The sequence below is a fragment of the Homo sapiens genome, chromosome 2 (assembly GCF_000001405.40).
Source record: "Homo sapiens chromosome 2, GRCh38.p14 Primary Assembly".
NCBI classification, from domain to species: domain Eukaryota; kingdom Metazoa; phylum Chordata; class Mammalia; order Primates; family Hominidae; genus Homo; species Homo sapiens.
Genome location: NC_000002.12, coordinates 217,155,444 through 217,176,030, shown reverse-complemented (window position 1 = coordinate 217,176,030; position 20,587 = coordinate 217,155,444). Strand labels below are relative to the sequence as shown.

Below are 20,587 nucleotides of genomic sequence, written 5' to 3'. Positions count from 1 at the left end.
TATTTTAAGCCCACTGTTGAGACCTACTGCTCAGAAAAAAACAAACAACCTTTCAAATTATTCGTGCTCATTGCCAATGCACCTGGTCATTCAAGAGCTCTGACAGAGACTGCTAACACAAGATGCATTCTGCAGCCATGGTCTAAGGAGTCATTTTGATTTTCAAGTCTTATTATTTAAGAAATACATTTCATAAGGCTATAGCTGCCATAGATAGTGATTCCTGTGATGAATCTGGGAAAAGGAAATTGAAAACTCCCTGGCAAAAATTCACCATTCTAGATGGTGAATTGTTAATAAATGTGAACTTAATAAATTCATGATTCATGGGAAATGTCAAAATAGCAACCTTAACAGGAGTTCAAAAGAAGCTGATTCCAACCTTCATAGACAACCTTGAGTGGTTCGAGACTTCAGTGGAGGAAGTAACTGAAGGTGTGGTGGAAATAGCAAGAGAATTAGAATCAGAGGTAGAACCTGAAGATGTGACAGAATTGTTGCAATCTCAGGATCAAATTTGAATGAATGAGGAGTTGCTTTTTATGGATGACCAAAGAAAGTTGTTCCTTGAGATGGAATCTACTCCTGGTGAAAACACTATGAATGTTGTTGAAATGACATCAAAGGATTTAGAATATTACATAACATTAGTTTGTAAAGCAGTAGCAGGGTTTAAGAGAATTGACTCTTTGAAATTTTCTTTTCTTTTTTTTTTTTCAACACTCAACCAGTGGATTTGAAACTTTGAAAGAAGTCCTACAGAGGACAAAATGCTATCAAACAGCATTACATATCACAGAGAAATCTTTCATAAAAGCATGAGTCAATTAATGTGGTAAACATCATTGTTGCCTCTTTTTTAGGAAATTACCATAGCCACCTCAACCTTTAGCAACCACTACCCTTACTTAGCAGCCAGCAGCCTCAACATTGAAGCAAGACCCTTCACCAGCAAAAAGTTTAAGATTATGACTTGCTGAAGGTCATAATAGATAATCAGATGATCATAAGCATTTTTAGCCATAAAATATGTTGTAATAAAATTATGCAGCATATAATAGCAATAAACTATGTTTAATGAAGTTATGTACATTGTCTTTTAGACATAATGCTATTCCACACCTAATAGACTACAGTACGGTGTCAACCTAACTTTTATATGCACTAGGAAACCAAAAAATTATGTGACTCACTTTATCGTGATATTCACTTTATTGTGGTGGTCTGGAACTGAGCCCACAATATCTCTGAGGTATGCCTGCCAGTACATGAACCTATAAGCTTTGCAGTGACACTTTTTAAAAAAGCATGCAATAGTGAATAAGTTTTTGATATCTGATAGAGGAGAAGACATAGGGACAAAACAGTATTAATAATGAGTATTTTTGATGGTACTTTTTATGTATTAAGCCCTGTGTGGAGTACTTTACACGTATTACATCTTTTAAAGCTAAAAACAATCTTATAAGTTACATACTATTATTTTCTTTATTTTACAGAAAAGGAAATCACCTTGATATTCTATCCAGCGGCTGCAAAAAAAAAAAAAAAAAAAGAAAAGAAAAGAAAATCACTTGAAGTGATTATTATTACTTTTATTGTTTTTGGGGTTTTTTAACTGACAAATAAAAGCTGTATATATTAAAAGCTGTATATATTTATGGTGTACAACATGATGTTTTAAAATATGCATATATTGTGGGAAGGTAAACCAAGCAAATTAACCTGTCCATTATCTTATACACTTACCTTTTTTTTTTTTTTTTTTTTGGTAAGATTGTTTAATTGCACTGTTGGAAAGCTGTTTAAAGATCTGTTGCAGAATCACCTTGCTCAGAAAAGCTCAAATAATAAGAAAAATGTAGTGACATTCTACACTGTGGTAGGTCAGAATCTATTTGGAATGGAGAAAGAAGTATCTAAGTTGGAAAAACTGTTGTTATCAAATAACACTATTAAATATTGTAAAAAGACATGTTGAATAACCTCTTGAGAGAACAAGTCAGTCTGTGTCCTACAATGTTCAATGAAACATGGATTTTAGTGATTTTGCTGTTTCATTCAGCTACTTTGTGTTGGTTTGTTTATAATGAAGATGTGTGTGAACAAATGAGAAGAAATCTGCAGTGTAAGAAAGTGGAAGAAAGGGATAAGGGTCAGCTCTTTAAGCGCACTGCCCTTTAATCTTCAACAACATCCTCTAAGATCTAAGATAGATGCTATGTTAGGTGCACTTTATGCAGCTGGGAACCATTCCAGATGCAGCCAAATTCTCTTTTATTTATTCTTCACAAGTATCCTGCAAGATGAATAAGATAATTTTTTAATGAATAAATAAAATGAGCTGAGAGGTTATGTTTCACGTTCAAGTTCTTTCAGGTAGAATGAGGTGGAGCTGGCATGATAGTTAACATGTTTCTGAATTTGTACAATTCGCCGCATCCTTTTACCTGCATGCTAGCTAATAAGAGGCACTAGAGGTGATGAAAAGGAAAAAAAGGTGAGCATTGTATTACTCTTAGGATTCCAGAACCTGGAGGACCTTCAACCAAGGACAGGTGATGATCTGTATCTTCCAAGAACAGGGGCATAGGCTCATGCAGGCTCAAATTGCAGCTCTGCCACCATTTTCATGAGGAGTACAGTAAGGCACTGAACAAGACAATCTCTTAGAACTTTAGTAAACACTAGGCTCATTTTCTTAAACTCCATCAGTTCCCCCTGTGGAACTTCCAAAGTGTCTTACACAAAGATGTTAATTAGAATGTCAATTTAAAGAGCAAAGAATTGGAGACAAATAATCATTTAATACATTTCCCTTTGCCAGACATCTTGGCTATATTCATTCAATAAAATAGTATGCACCATTTAGAACTATGCTTACAGGAATTCCCAAATTATATCTCTAAGTGGGAAAAAAGTATAATCATTATATATGAGGAATGATGACAACTAAATAAAAGCTCATGTCAAAAAATAAAGACATACAAAGTGCATCCACTCAAAGACAATCATAATTAGCCTTTTGATGTGTTTCACCAATCTTTTTTCTTTCTACTTTTCAGTATGCCACCTGAAATGCATTGGATCCTATTAGCCCATGAGCCACAGCTCCCACTTCTTGACTCAAGTCTTAAGAGCGTTGCAAAATTTCAGGTGTGCTCACAGTCCTGTCTTTTAGGTACTGTGAACAAAGCCCTTTGTTGATGTCTGATTTCATGAAGCCAATGAGCCATGTCTAATCACGGTTGCTGCTGTTTCTCACCATTGAAAAACAGATGATCAAGCCAAGTGTATTTTCACTTACTTTTCCCAAATCCTTTTCCCCCATCACCTTTAGAAATGCCTGATCAAAGCTGAGTTTCCTGAAGTAGAAATATGCCCCTTTTTCAGCTTCAATTGACTGATCCTTTCTATATACCAGGCACAGGGCCTTGGAGCTCAGGCAAAGAAAGCAGTAGCTGAGAGAGACAACATGGCACCCTCTCCATGGGCCTATGTAGTCACACAACCAGCTGAATGTGTTGAGGTTGTTGCCAACAGTCTAGGAATGATTTGCTCTCCAGTGACTATGTGCTGTCTCTTTTATGATCTCTTAGCTGTATCTTAAGACCTTGCTACCCAAAGTGTACAGTGTAGACTAGTAGATTCATCATAACTTGGAAGCTTGTTGGAAAGGCAAACTTTAGGCCTCAACTTAGACCTACTAAATTAGAATCTACAGGTGATTCCTATGCACCTTAATATTTGATAAATACAATTTTAGACCAGGTTTCTTCAAATCCATGAATTTTTGCAGGGAGTACAGCATGTTTCAAAATTAAATTTTAGACCAACTCTCTTTCCATTCTACCTCACCTCTAAATGACATATCATCTTGATTCAATTAGTGTCTCTATTTTTACACTGATTGCCAACTCATCTTCTTTGTAAGCAGCAGGGACAGAGAGCCCTGGATGCACATTGCAGCTCTGAACTAAGTGTGTGGCCTTGGTACAAGTTACTTACTTAACCTCCTCAAGCTACATTTTTAGAAGTGAGAGAAGCAGAGGGAACTTGAAAAAATGAGGTGCTATAATTTTATCATTCTTTTGCTCCCAAGACAAAATTCCAATAAGAAGCTGTCATTATTTCACATATCAAAGCATCACTTGAGTGAGGGCTCAATTATCAGCACAGCTACATCCTTCTAATAAGGCTGCCATAGAGGGACACCAGCTCCTTGGTACACTAGCTGTTTACCTTCATCTTCCAATGGTATCAATAGGTGAGTGAGTTCATACAACATCAACTATACCTCAGCAATTAATGAGCTCCCAAGGAAGACACCAAATAAAGGCAAAAAAACTAGAAGTGCCACCTCAGAGGATGGACTTAATTCCTCTCTTACCTGCTCTCTACTTTGACTCTGTCTTCCCTATCACGAAGACAGGTAGCAGAAAGTGCTGTCTCCTTCAGGATAGATCGATTTTACGTAACTAGAGATTCTATACCCTCAAAGCTTGATCCAGGAACCCATTTTTCTCTCCCAGTGACCACACACATCTGGTTGGAAGGAGGAGTGGGGAGGAGCCCAGGTGGTGGGGTTCTACAAGATCACAAGCCTAAGCAACTCTGAATAAGGTACAGAGGTGATGACATCCACTCCTGCATCTCAAGGGTTCAACTTTGGTTTTGTGTACTGTTCTGTATCCTTTGCCTTCATAGGTTTTTAATTGGCTGAGCATCAAGACTTCACATTTATATTTAATCATCTAACCCAACCTACTCTCTTGAGGAGCTGAATATAGCCACTAACCCTGATTTAGTGAAAGCCAGACTAATAAAGAAGAAAACAGAGAAGAATCAAATAGATGTAATAAAAAATGATAAAGGGGATATCATCACCAATCCCACAGAAAAGAGGAAGTCAGATTGTCTCTGTTTGCAGATGACATGATTGTATATTTAGAAAATCCCATCATCTCAGCCCCAAATCTCCTTAAACTGATAAGCAACTTCAGCAAAGTCTCAGGATACAAAATCAATGTGCAAAAATCACAACCATTCATATACACCAATAATAGACAAACAGAGCCAAATCATGAGTGAACTCTCATTCACAATTGCTACAAAGAGAATAAAATACCTAGGAATACAACTTACAAGGCATGTGAAGGACCTCTTCAAGGAGAACTACAAACCACTGCTCAAGGAAAAAGAGAAGACACAAACAAATGGAAAAGCATTCCATGCTCATAGACAGGAAAAATCAATATTGTGAAAATGGCTATACTGCCCAAGGTAATTTATAGATTCAATGTTATTCCCATCAAGCTACCATTGACTTTCTCATAGAATTGGAGAAAACTACTTTAAATTTCATATGGAACCAAAAAAGAGCCTGTATAGCCAAGACAATCCTAAGCCAAAAGAACAAAGCTGGAGGCATCATGCTACCTGACTTCAAACTATACTACAAGGGTACAGTAACCAAAACAGCATGGCACTCGTACCAAAACAGATATATAGACCAATGGAACAGAACAGAGTCCTCAGAAATAACACCACACATCTACAACCATCCGATCTTTGACAAACCTGACAAAAACAAACAATGGGTAAAGGATTCCCTATTTAATAAATGGTGTTGGGAAAACTGGCTAGCCACGTGCAGAAAGCTGAAACTGGATCCCTTCCTTACACCTTATACAGAAATTAACTCAAGATGGATTAAAGACTTAAACGTAAGACCTAAAACCATAAAAACCCTAGAAGAAAACCTAGGCGATACCATTCAGGACATAGGCATGGGCAAAGACTTCATGACTAAAACATCAAAAGCAATGGCAACAAAAGCCAAAATTGACAAATGGGATCTAATTAAACTAAAGAGCTTCTGCACAGCAAAAGAAACTATCATCAGAGTGAACGGGTAACCTACAGAATGGGAAAAAATTTTTGCAATTTATCCATCTGACAAAGGGATAATATCCAGAATCTACAAAGAACTCAAACAAATTTACAAGAAAAAAACAACCCCATCAAAAAGTGGTCAAAGGTATGAACAGACACATCTCAAAAGAAGACATTTATGCAGCCAACAAACATATGAAAAAAGCTGATCATCACTGGTCATTAGAGAAATGCAAATCAAAACCACAATGAGATACCATCTCACACCAGTTAGAATGGCAATCATTAAAATGTCAGGAAACAACAGATGCTGGAGAAGATGTGGAGAAATAGGAACGCTTTTACACTGTTGGTGGGAGTGTAAACTAGTTCAACCATTGTGGAAGACAGTGTGGCGATTCCTCAAGGATCTAGAACTAGAAATACCATTTGACCCAGCCATCCCATTACTGGGTATATACCCAAAGGATTATAAATCATTCTACTAAAAAGACACATGCACACATATGTTTATTGCAGCACTATTCACAATAGCAAAGACTTGGAACCAACCCAAATGCCCATCAATGATAGACTGGATAAAGAAAATGTGGCACATATACACCATGGAATACTATGCAGCCATAAAAAAAGGATGAGTTCATGTCTTTTGCAGGGACATGGATGAAGCTGGAAACCATCATTCTCAGCAAACTAACACAAGAACAGAAAACCAAACATGGCGTGTTCTCACTCATAAGTGGGAGATGAACAATCAGAACACGTGGACACAGGGAGGAGAACATCACACACCAGGGCCTGTCAGGGGCTGGGGGGCTGGGGGAGGGATAGCATTAGGAGAAATACCTAATATAGGTGACAGGTTGATGGGTGCAGCAAACCACCATGGCACATGTATACCTATGTAACAAACCTGCACATTCTACACATGTACCTCAGAAGTTAAAGTATACATATATGTAAAGAAAACCCTTAAAAAAAAGAAAGAAAAGAGAAGAGGGTTAAGAGTGAAAAGACCTGGGTAAGAGTCCTATAGGCCACAACACAGACGAGTGCTCTTGAACAAGTCACTTTCCTCTTGAGGCCTCAGTTTTTACATGGTAAATGAGGTGGAAAGGGAGAGGGGGCAATTCATGATCTCCAAGGTCCTTTTCTGCTCTAAAATTTTGCGTTCCAGAGCTGTGCAGCAAGAAGCAGTTAAACGCTGGACTCTTTCCCCAGAACAGCCTTCGGGTATTTTGCTCATTAAAGAGATTAGCTGTCCATTTGCAGGGATGTCTCTCCAATGAGGTAGGGACAAAATAGCCCAACACAGTTTTAGTTTAGATTCACTTTATGAAGTACATATCTAATTCCCTGGCAAGCTAAGTCAAGCACGTCTTCTCATGTGTTTTAAGAACCAAGGCATTTGGCTGAGACTGAGAGCAAATGCCTCTTATTAATGTGTGACAAATCCATATGGGGAAAAACAGTGTTTCTTCTTTCCCATATGGCACAGCTGAGTAAGGCTGGCTTTTCTGGCCTTGAAATGGTTCCATGGACCAGGTGGGTGGTTTATTTCACAGGCTGGTGACAATCCAGTGTGTCTCTCCCACAGAGATGGGAAGGGGCAAGAATTCTTCTGTTGTAGCCCAGGGCTGTCAGCAAGGCTGTGACATAGGCCATTGGCCCTTCTGCCAAGATGAAGGGCAGTGGAACTACTGTGAGGAAGAACAGGAGGAAATCTCAAACCACTTTGGATCCTGGACCTGAACTTTTCTTGAACCCCAAGACCTTTAAAGTTTTAGCCTCATAAGGACAAATCAGCTTTCTCTCTGGAAAACTCTCAAACCACTCCCCACCTCAGTCTCAATGTAATAGGAGTGATGAAGCCACTGGAAGAAAGGGAGAACATGGGGGAGGCAGTTATCTCACCCACCTTCCACCTTCAGGTCCAAAGGCTGAAGACCCAATGGCTTCTGGTTTTAACTTGGTTTTGGACCTCTGCAAGACATGGTGGATTCACTGTTTCCCCTCTAAGGTTTACGGTACAGATTTTTCAAAAAGCATAGAGAAGATTGTATTGACTAAATATGAAAAATAACCAAAACAATAGCAGCAATTGAAATCCAATCAACCCATACCTGTAACATCATTCTACCTCTTTAAAAGAGCAAGAAATTATCCTGGACAGAAGCATAAGTCATCTCCTCTGTCCTGCAGCTTAGGCTGATGTGAACTAAGAGACAGTGGCTTTCATTGTCCCTGCAACTTGGGGTGACAAAACTAAGTTCTTATGTTTCATTAATAACCTCCTGAAATTCAGTCTTTGACTCTTTTTTTTTTGCTGTGCTATGAATGAATAACTGCTTTAATAAATATGTATGAACATACTCATCATATGTCATATAACCAGAATCAAGCAAATATGCATATTTTTCCAGTGTGTAATTGGCCATTATACACAATTAGACATCAATGTGAAAGGCTTGCTGAAAATGAAAAGCAGTTAAGTGACAAAATGTCAGGTTTTGAAGAAAATGTCAAAAGTCCTATTACAATCTAGAAAATCAAAACCAGATAGGTTATAAAAATGGGTTTGGGTAAACATACACCTGTATACACACACACACACACACACACACACACACACACACACACACACAATTTGATTTCCTAGAAATGGAGATGGTAGTTATGAACTTGCAATGTTCATATGGGAAAGTTTCATATTAAACATTAGAGAAGACTTTTTTAAACTTTTAGATTTGGGGGTACATGTGCAGGTTTGTTATATAGGTAAACTCATGTCATAGGGATTTGTTGTACAGATTATTTTGTCACCCAGGTACTATGCCTAGTACCCAACAGTTATTTTTTTCTGCTCCTTACGACTGCTTAGCTGTGGGACTTAATTGACTAGTCAAAGGAAGCTGTGCTTTTTCTTAAATACATTTGTAGACTAAAAATCTAAAACATCTTTATTAAAATCTTAGATTTTTAATAAAAATCAAAATCTTAGATTCTAAAAATCTAAGATTTTTATCAAAGATCAATTAGTCCATGGGAGAAACTTCTCTTTAAAATGTCTATTTCAAAAATTAATACATCCCTGCTAAACTGTTTCAGTGCAATGAGAAGTTTATTCCTAGACATGTTTCAGGGTTCTACAATTGCAGTCACTAAAAAGTTCTTCCTTATATCTAACCAATATCTACAACCTTAATGTGTGTCTCTCTGGAGCCATGTAGGATACTTGATTTGGTCACATTACAGATCTTCAAACTTTTGAGATCACTTGATATATTCCTTATAATTCTCTTGCCTTCAAATTAAACATATCAAATTATTTGAAATCATGTCATTGGAGAAATTGTTGAATGAATAAGTTTAAGAGTGAATGGAAAAACTGGGAGGTATCGCCAATTTGGCAAAGGAATTTCAATTAACATTTATTTGTCATATGCTATGTATCCACAGTATAGTAAGTTCTAAAGGTCTCTATTAAACTCCAGTACCCTGATCTCCACATTCCAAAGTGTTTTTCTTAGCTCAGAGTAGAACATGTCTCCCATCACTGACTGTGCTTTGCAGGAGGTGGGTAGTGTTACTAAGGGAGAGAAGGCAGGACGTAACTTCACAGTGGTCTTCTCAAACTCGTGATTCTACAAATAGCTCTAATTCTACAAAATAGCTCAAGACTCTTAGTTTGAAAGCCACAAGAGGGCACTAGACTACTACATGGACCTAGCTCTACTTAGGGCCCAAAGCACAGAGCAAGGGTCAGTATTGACATTAGTGATGGCCACATCAGTTGCATGTCCTACATCTGTGTCTGAAACACAGTATGCAATCATGGAGGATGTGCAAAGCTATTGGCTATGAAACATGTTCAAATGCTAAGCTTGAGTTATGCTAAATACAGTAGAATCCACATGCAATTTGAAAAAAAAAAAAAGTAAAAAGGAGTAAGGTCCACCCCCAAAGTTCTAAGAAAAGCAAGGTGGTTCTTTAAGCTGTGAGTTCTGAAAACAATATGGACAACATAGTGATAGTCAGGGGAACAGCAGGAGTTAGAAAAACAGGAGCCTTCCACTTCTACTTTTGGAAAGCCTGACATCTGACGAGGCTCATATTGGCCACAAGATTCCCTCCAGACCATGAGATTTACACTGGGCATCACCCAAGGTATTCATTCTCTCTGCTCCTGAAGTGCTCCGTACTTTACAAGGTTTCAGGAACACTAGTCTCAGGCTAATGAAAGCATACTTAAAAACTTCTCAAAAATACAGATTGAGTCTATGTAATCACCACACCATTTGAGAAAGGCAAAAATTTAGTCAATTAAGTTATATGTTAGTCTGAATAAAATCAACAAACAGATTATTTGGGTCAATGAAGAAGTATCTTACGCAATTCCAAAACAGCCAATCAAATTCACTCAGACAAATATGAATCAACACAAGGAAAAACAATCAGTCAAGAATGCTGCTTTGGATCATGAAAATCAAACCCTAAACTGAAGGCTTGAGTTTTTAACTTTTCAATAGTTATGTTTAATATTGTATAGAAGATGACTCCTTTGTTATCATAACTGTGCATGGGATATACTTTTTCCCTAAAGATGATAGACAGATAGAGAAATTGATAGACAGACAGACAGACAGAATAATTCAGATTGAGTGTCATATAAATGACTTACCTAATTGGTTAAACCAGAGGTTCTTGCTGCAGCAGGAAAGATAGGAGAAGGTCATTTTTCTGAGGCAAGGTTTAGCTCTTTGGAGACAATGAACACCTGGGTGGTTTCCTACAGAGCCAGTTGAAATCATTAAGAAAGATGGTCTTTTCTTTCTAGTTTCTTATTAATTTACCTACATTCTGAGTTCTGGATCCATGACCTGCATTTGTTTTTAAATTTTCTTTTTAAAAATAAAATATATATTATATATTCATGAGGTATAAAGTGATTCTCTCTCTCTCTCTCGATGGGATCTCACTATGTTGCCCAGGCTGAACTTTCATTTCTGGGCTCAAGCAATCCTCCTGCTTCAGCCTCCTGAGTAATTGGGAATACAGGAGTGCACCACTGCACCCAGCTTGAAATGTGATGTTTTGATATATGTTTACATTGCATGGCCTCTGTTATTGTACTATGTCAGAACCTTTCTAACTTTGATCATTTTACTTCCATTATCCTTGTCACGTTTGACCCAGCCATTGCTCTGAGACTCTGTCCTTCCCTCGTGGAACAATGAGAGCTCTCACCTTTTGGTTCTGATTCCATCCCAACCCTTCTCCCCAGGAGTCTTGCTTTTTCTGGAATTGATCTATTTATAACATTGCCTCAGTTTTTAGGTTCTTCTCAGTGTCAGCTATGTTGAGTCTGTTAAAGATATCTTGGCTATTTGACTTGGTTTTCATCAAGTTCCTTGGCTTCTACCTTTTAAATGACATTTTTTTTTCACATAATTGTTATTTTTCTGGGCTCTGGCCACTGATTTCTCCATATTCTCTATTTCTTGACTCTTTCATTAGCTTAACAGCATAACTTCCATCTTCACTCCCCCAGTTCTGTTTTCAGAGATCTACTTTTAATGGCTAAGCCCAGCCCAAATTGACAGTGTCCATCCTCTTTGCAAGCCTTGGGCCCTCCCTCACTACCCCCAGCACAGACTTCATCTTCTAGGACAGTCCCCAGTGCTACAGGGGAGGTGAGTTCAAGAGAAAGTGCCCCAGGATCTTCTTAGCATTATTTTCCCCACAGTGGGACTTTGAAGCTGCCTTTCTAGCCTGCCTTCCAGCTGTTAGCAAACACACACTTTTTAAAATTAGGAAATGAACATGATAGTTCTACTCCCAGCCAGGAGCTCATCTAGTATGCTCCAGGAAAAGGATGATTAATGGAGCTAAGGCTTTATGTCTAAGCCAGGGGATGGCAGCTTGTGGGGAATAACTGAGCCACACCAGCCCGCCACAGCCTCAGATCAGGTGAACTGCACATGGCGTTAGGCCCACTGGAGGCCCTTAAAGTTAGCCAGTGGCCTGGCAGAAAGTGCACACACAATAAGTGCCTGGTGGACACACATGGCCCAAAGGAACGGGGCAGTTTTTCAATTCTTCGGTTTATATAGAGAACCAACCTACACAACCTTGGCCTTCAGAATCTTGCCAGCAGTTAGAGTATCCAGACTGGCTGTCCAGACCACCTAAATTACATGGATAAAAGCAAAAGATTTCCTTCACTGAATACCACGTGGACTTGTTTCCAAGTCCTTTTTGGGTTTGAGGCCTTACTTGTAATCATCCCTCACAAGAGGGGGGAAAAATAAAAGAAAGAAAAATGTAGGGAATTTGAGTTCTACTTCACCAAGGGCTTAGGATGGAGAATAGGAAAGTTCTGCAGGATCTTGGCTGAGCAGTGGTTTTCTGCTTCTTTAAACGTCAAAATTAACCTGATTGAGTGAACTATTCAAAAAGCACATCCATCAATTTTTGTTTCATCTGAGGTTTGGAGTGCCAAGGACTTACAACATAAGGCCTCAGACCACTCTGGTTTAATGCCAGGGGATACTTAGGGGTTCCTGGGGATGGTAATTATGATCATAACCCTCTGCCTGCCAAACTCCTATGCACTACACCCAACCCAGATGCTACTCTTCCTGTGAGATCTTACCCAGATCCTCTCTGGTTCCTCTGTGGTCCTCTAACACTTGGTGTGGCTTCTTTGGCTTAACTGGACAAGTCACCACGTTAATTCATTTATTTTCCTTCATTAAAAAAATTGTTCACCCATGACCTCTGCAAAAATAAATAAATAAAATAGAAAGAAATGCGTAAAAACAAAACCTACCCTTTACTCTCTCCTCTCAGAAGAGAGAACCACCGTTTGTAATCAGCACAAGGAAAGTGGGAACACTAAAGAAATCACTATAAGATAGCAGCTGCCCTCAAAACTAAAACCAGTCACTTTAAAATACATGCTCCCGTGTGATCCCTGGATGAGGTTCTTTTCTCTTTAGTAAAACGGAGATTTTCAGGATTCAACCCGGAGAGGTAAAATCACTGAGCTTATAAATGAGGAAACTGGAATCAAAGACCTGAATTTTTGTCTTTTCCTTTTTCCCACCATGTTGTGTCCCAGTGTGCCCCAGCATCCTTAGAGACAAAGGCCTGGAGGAAGCACAAAGAGACTTCTATTTTCATCTTTTGGTTCTAGCAAGATGAGGATCAGCAGGCAGGCAGACACACTTGGGAATAATGGCTCTGCTCTCTCAACCGAGCCCCCGCCCCAGTGCCTTCATCCCCACTTTGGGGTGACCTCGGCAGAACAAGCTCTCTCTGTAATGATCACTTCGTCAGCAGGGGCTGTGTATTTAGTAGCAGGAAATATAAGCTTTTGTGGTCAGTGTGACGTCACCCCACCCACTAAACAGGCCTTTATAATTTGACCACAAAAAGGCTTGAAAGGGATAGACACATACACGCAGGGAAGGAGGCGATAGGACTGTCAACAGTTGTCTGTGTAGTGAAAGGAGCATTGTGTCTTCCAAATGTTTCCCGAAAGCCTGATGTTTGGTCTGCTGTAGACAAAACATCTGGATGATATATGGCGATTTCTCTTTGTATTTGAGTGCCCCAACTCATCTCCTTCCTTTCTCCTCTCTCTTTTCTACCTCTCGTTTTCTCTTTTCCTCATTCCCTTCATCCTCCTGCTTCCCTTTTTTCTCTTTTTACTCTGACTTAATCTAAAATAGACAAGTATATATTTTTAAATCATTGAGTTGTTTTCAAATGTTTTCACATGATGTGCATGTGAGCACACACATACACACACCAATTTTACTGTTATTTTCCTAGATACTTTACTGTTAGAGGGAGAGAAAAAGGAGAAGGGGTGACAGAGAGAGAGTAATTTTAAAAGACATAGCTAACATATCAATGTATCATTAAAAATTGCTTTCCATAAATGTCTTGGTTTTATAACTAATTCTGTAGAGGAGCAGAGCTAAATGGCCCAGTACCTTTTAGTGTCACATTGTGCAAGTTCAAGATAATATACTGCTGGATATTTCACTTTATCTTTTGTTTTCCTTTTTATTTTAAATGAAGAAAGGCACATGCTAGGCATTAATATGAACACTCCCATTAAGTACAAAGAGAAAAATAAAATAAAGATTGATTGACATGGACAAGTAAACAAAAAAAGCAGATAACCTGAAAAAGGAGGGTAGAGAGAAACTGAAAGAAATTGTCTATACGCTACCTCTGTATAAACTTTTTACTAGTTTTTCAGATCTTTGAGCCTAGGAGGGGAGAGAGAGAAAGAGAGAGAAAAGAGACAGAGAGAAAGAGAGAGAGAGAGAGAGAGAGAGAGAGAGCAAGAGAAAGAGAGATGAACATGAGAGGTGATGGCTGACGTGTCTGACCTCTGAATTAGGCTGCTGGAAAAATATGGCTTCCCCTGATTTGTGCCGCTGTGGAAAACCCCCTCCCAGGACTTCAAGCTTTCCTCTGAGGCACAGGCAGCAGGAAACACCTGCTTCACTTCTCCCCTGATGTTTTTTCCCCTTTTAGGGAGTCTGGGTCTCCTCCCCCTCCCTTTCTGCAGTGCACAAATGGACAAGCAGTTTTCCACATGCCCCAATCTTTCCTAAGAAAGGAAGTACGGAATCATCTATTAGCGACTGATGCACTTTGATGGCTTCCTTACCCCCACTTCCTTATTTTCTCTTCCAATTGACCTTTATTATAGCTTCCTCAACCCAGTTCCGCTTCCCAGCTCTTGTACTAATAATATTTTTCTCCAGAATAAATGAAGCATAAGAAGTCTATCCAAAAAAACTGAGAGGCAAGTGTACATACTGTTTGTCATGATTCCTTATTTTGGGTTTTGCCATTCGCCTCCCTGCAACAAAGGGGGAAGCAAATGCAATTCCAGTTTGGAAAGGCATGACAGACAGTTGCAGTATGCATCAGATCAAGATAGCAGCCTTCAAATATCCTCCCAGTGGAGAGGCACTGAGCTATTAGCAACTTTCTTTTTTTTCCTCCTTCTTTTTTTTTTTTTTTTTTTTTTGAGACAAAGACTCTCTCTGTTGCCCAGGCTGAAGTGCAGTGGCATGATCTTGGCTCACTGCGACCTCTGCCTCCCGGGTTCAAGAGATTCTCCTGCCTCAGCCTCAGGAGTAGCTGAGACTACAGGCGTGTACCACCACACCTGACTAATTTTTTGTATTTTTAGTAGAGACGGGGTTTCACCATGTTAGCTAGGATGGTCTCGATCTCCTGACCTGCCTCAGCCTCCCAAAGTGTTGGGATTACAGGCGTGAGCCACCTCGCCTGGCCTATTAGCAACTTTATACAGTAGCTCTCAATCAATACAAAAAAGAGCACCCAAGAAACCCTCCACACAACCATATGAAAAATGTTATAACAAATTTTAGTTAATTAAAATAATTTAGTTAATTAAAATAATTGTGAAGCCCAAGAAGTTTTCATCAGGCTTGCAAAGACCACTGAGGGTTGTTACATGTCTAGTTCCCTTTCTCTAAATAGAAGAACATCTATAGCACTGTTTGTAAAGCTATCTCCTCCCCAGAGCTTCCTTCCTCTGCTGGCTAGTAAAAAGAATCCTTGGGTGGAAAAAGCCGTAAGACAGAGAAGACAAAAATACGTAAAGTGTTATTTTTCATTCTCCACAGGATGGCCTCTATAATAGCAATTCCTGGTCAATTCAAAGTATATTTTGCTTTATGAGAAGAAGGAGGGTAGTATATTAGAAATAGCAGTGGTCAATAAATCTTAATGAGTCACTGAAGAAATCGGGGATATAACCAAGACACCTTGGTGAGTCACCTCCTTTCTCTAGACAGTTTAATAACTCATAAAATGGGAGGATTAAACTAGACAATCTCTGAGGTTACTTGTATCCATGTTTTGCAACATATATGAGAGGACGGAGCCAACTATATTATTTAAGTAGCTCCTAGAAACAAAGAAGAAAATGGGAGACACCCAAATAAGAAAAAATTACAGAAATTAAAAGAGGTAATTCATGAAAGAAATACTATATTACGTCAGTCAACTTACAAACAAATGTTCATCCTTGCTAGTGATCAAAGAAATACAAATTAAAACATAGGCTTTCGTGGTTACCTCATAGCCTGGCCAAAATGGAAAAGATGAACTTTCATAATTTTCCATCATAGCATTGTTTATAATAACAACACATGGGAAACAACACATATGTCTCATTATGGTATATCCATTTATTGGAATCCTACCACCTATTAAAAATGATATGAGTCTAGGGCCGGGTGCGGTGGCTCACGCCTGTAATCCTAACACTTTGAGAGGCTGAGGTGGGTGGATCACGATGTCAGGAGATCGAGACCATCCTGGCTAACACGGTGAAACCCCATCCCTATTAAAAATACAAAAAATTAGCCGGGCATGGTGGCATGCGCCTGTAGTCCCAGCTACTCAGGAGGCTGAGGGAGGAGAATCACTTGAACCCGGGAGGCGGAGGTTGCAGTGAGCCGAGATCATGCCACTGCACTCCAGCCTGGGCGACAGAGTGAGACTCTGTCAAAAAAAAAAAAAAAAAAAAAAAAAAGAAAAAAAAAGATATGAATCCAAATGCCTTAACAATGGAAATATGGCTACCATATATTAAGGAAATAAAGAGAAAGTTACAAAACATGTATGCCATATCTCCACTTAAGGAAAATGTATGTATATATGTATGTATGTGCACAGAAAAACTTCTGAATGGACACCTACCACAATATTAACAATGGATATCTCAAGGTGCTGAAATAATTGTACAGCAGTCTACTTTATTCTTTTCCATATTGTTGAATATTTTACAGTGAACATGTGCTACTTTTATAACCCATAAATTTCATCCCCATTTGGGAATAATACATAATTAAACAAAATGCTATAAGCATGCTGCACATAGAAGAACATTACATTGAAAACGGAAATCAGCCTTACTTAGGCAGCAGATGGTAAAGGGAGCTGTTAACCTGATCTACTCACTCAGAGCCCTGGAGCCTTAGATAAAGCTATGAGTTGACTCTTTGTGGTCCAGATATTTCTCTTTTATAAGTTGCTTGTATTTTCTGAGCCACAGTCTCTTTATCTGTAAAATAACAATGGTAATTTTCGCCTTGCAAAGTAGTTGCAAGAATTCAATAAAATAACACCTACAAATTGCTCAAAATGAGCCCAATAAATATTAGCTCTTGTTATTATACAAAATTAACATATTTATACTATGACAAACAGGCATTACTAAATATCTTAATTGATAGAAACCATACTGGAATAATATCCCTGTATGTCATTTGTAGTTTTTGTGTGTTAACTTCTAAGGCTGGTGGTTAATAGGGTATTCTTCATGGGATAGTGGTGAGCCTTTGGTATGAGGGACTTTACTTCCTTCGATGGATAGTCTCCTGAATTCTCTGATGTGCAGTCTCCCTGCTATCCCCTGCCAGCTGCTCAGGTAGCATCATATATGGAGGTCCTAACAGGAGCACAACCTTGACCTAGACAGAGTCAAGGGATATAACAGAGGAATAGATGAGATGCAAACTCTGCCTTCAAGGTGCTTACAATCTACTGAGAAAAACAAGGCAAGGCTCCCCAAACTGCAGTGTGGTAAACTGTTGTATCTGTAACAACAACAAAAAATACACTAAAAAATGAGAGAAGTTTATCTAATTCACTCTGTAGATGGAGGCTTCAGAGAAGCTGTGACTCAAGACTAATTTTTAAACAGAAATTTTATATGAGAAAGATGGGGGAAGGGTAATCCAGGCAGAGCAGGAAACCTGCAAACGCATTGGAATATTACGCCCAGGACACACTGGGGGTCTTCAGGAAGAGGGTGGCATGGGGAGCGCAAAAGCATGGTAACTGGCAAATGGAATGAGATGAACCTGTAAATGTGGAGTTCTCAACTAGATGTACCATTAACTGGCCATTAGAGCTAGGGCAGGAATCCCTCTATATCCTTGAGCTGTAAAATGGAGGTAGGTGTGGGATGTAGACCTAACCTACAAAGCTCATGTGATTATAGAACTGGGATCTCAAGGTATGGTGAATTTCAGTAAGATTCCATATCTAAGCACTGGGGTAGAGAGGGGGTTAGAAAAGGGGCTGGAGGGACTGAGCTGAGTCTCTTTTCCAGGGGAGGAAAAGCTTTCCTCTCTAGAGAGATACACAGGCACGGCGATTTTAGAGTCCTCAGCGAACTCACTTTTGGTGACCTGAGAAAGGGTCAGTGAGTATGGGGAGGTTCAGTAAGATGAGTTTAAGAACAAGCTGAGAAAATATGATACCACAGGAGAATCCGGGAAAGAGCAGCCACCAGCAGAAAACTCTGGCACCCAGTTCCCACCAGTAAACAGCCAACTTGGAAGCAGGCAGGGCCTTCCGTGCTGAGCTCAAAGCAAGCAAGTGCAATGGGACAAAGAGGTCCTGGGGTACGGGCATGGAAGAGAAGGAGGAGGGGTCCTGCCTGGCCAGCAGCTCTGAAACTGCAGCTCCATCCCACTCACCTTCCCTGACCTGTCCTCCACCCTGCAGCCTGATCTCCTTCTCCCGGGGAAGTAGGGGCTTCTCCTCCCCATCCCCTGCCTGACTGCCCGGGCTGGAGATCAGGGCAGAGGTTTTGCCATGGTTAGGTGAATGTATGACTGTTTAGGCCCTTGGATATTTATCTGTAAAATGGAGATAATCTATGCCTTACCTGGCTTACAGGGTTATGGAAAGGAGCAACAACAAAGTCATGTGAAAATGCCTTATACTCTGTGTTTGAAGCATGATTATCATCACGTCAGACCCTAATTTGTCTTAACTTTCAAGTTCTCTCTCCTGCCAAGATACATTGGGATTTAACACTGAAAAGATCAGGGTATCTTGTTTTACTAGGTTTCCTTATCAATATTCCTTCGACATCTTACCTGGTACTATTTCACAAAACGTAAACATAGTAGGAAAAATTATAAAAGTCTACAAAATGAAAGATCTGCTAGCCCAGAACAAGAAACCAGCCCACAGCTAAAACTGGCTGCACCCTTGTACCCCTTGGCTTTTGTTGTCTGGAAAACTCTGTACAGACCAATCTGATGGCACACAGAGTCCTGTGCTATGAAACAGCAGCCAAGGGCTCTGATGCCAGCCTCACAGCCCTGTGCCTGTCTGAGCTTTGCTTTCCATGGAAAAAGGGTTGGTCTAAAAGATCTACCATACCACCATATTTGGAGCATCTACACTATCAATATCCCTTGAGCACTTTCTGTATTCCTCAAGCTGCCTGGGACTTGGGGTGAGGGTGAGGGAGTAGTTATGAAAAGTGGGTGCATGATGGTCCCTACATCAACAATCCTAGGGTAGTTGAGGGAGTAAGACGCAAACATGTAGATACACAAACAGAAAGTTAGCAACCATTTTCTCCTCTCTTGTTCTCATCAGGTGCTTGGTGCATTTGCATATTATGATATACAAGTTCCAGAAGTAACCTATGAAGAAGGAAGGGACTGGAGGTGCAAGGGAGTGGGTTTGCATAGGCATTTTATAGAGGGAAACACTGAGGACTCCCAGGATGAAGAGAGTCCTGAGCTAGAATAAAGAACCCAGCTCTCATGGCTTCTGCTATAAGCAGATGATCTGGCTTCATAGAAAGCCCATGGACTGTGGAGACAGCCCCACGTTAGAATTTTCCCTAATGTCTAGTGACTTTGGGTGGGACACTACATAATATTGGCATTTTGAAAATGAGCCCCTGGGCTCAGGTGGGGCTGTGAGGATTTTGAAAAGAGATGGTGTGTGTGAAGTCTCTTGCATACAGTAGATAGAAGAAAAGGAGAAACATGTGCCCAGCCTCAGACATGGGGTTAAAGCCTACCAGGGAAGGGAAGCTCTGGCATGGTCTGTCCTGCTCTCCTTTTGGTCATATATATGTCTTGGGCCTCTCATCCTGGAGCCCAGAGTATGTTACTGGTACCTTCAGTGAGCCAGGGCTACCTAAAGTGGCAGTGATGCAGCTTGGCTGCTGGGGATGGTGAGAGCAGGGCAGGTGCAGAGCCTAGCTCTTTGAAGGGACACAGTTGAGCCTGGAGAACATACTGCCTTCTTTAAGGCCCTGAGCTCATTGTTCAGCTCTCATTATCTCCACTGAAGAGAGGAAAAGGGAAGAAGAGGGCAGGGCAAGCATTTTATTCCCTTATTCACCATTCCTGCAAGATAAGGTTTCATCAAGGCACATTTGAATTAAGGTGTATCCTCCTTGTTGCCCAAACAGCCAGCCAGTATTTATTGAGTACCTGCTGAATGCTATGCTATGCTATGCTAAACGTCCAGGGAGTTTACCATGTATATGAGAGAGAAAAAAGAGTGCATGGCATAGTCTGGTACATTGGAACTGAATCTTGGCTCTATTATTTACCGTTTTGGGACAAGCTACTTAACCTATATGAGCTTTAGTTTTTTTAAACTACAAAATGGGGATGATGATTCTTACCTTGCAAGATTAATATGGGTACTGAAATAAAAATATATATGTTTGGAACACAATAAGTGCTGAATAAATGGCAGTTGTTGTTCAGTTATTACTGTTACTGTATGATAGAATTAGAGACTAGCTACAGGCTGAACTATGTAGGTAACTTTGAGTAGAGAAGTTGTTAACAGCAAGAAC

At 39.8% G+C, this 20,587-nt stretch overlaps 1 annotated feature.

The window, feature by feature from the left end:
- Positions 14,291-14,585: an enhancer, noted in NCBI's record as "tiled region #14920; HepG2 Activating non-DNase unmatched - State 21:Repr". NCBI's record gives its function as "activates a minimal TATA promoter and a strong SV40 promoter by Sharpr-MPRA in HepG2 cells {active_cell/tissue: HepG2}" and the evidence as "EXISTENCE:reporter gene assay evidence [ECO:0000049][PMID:27701403]".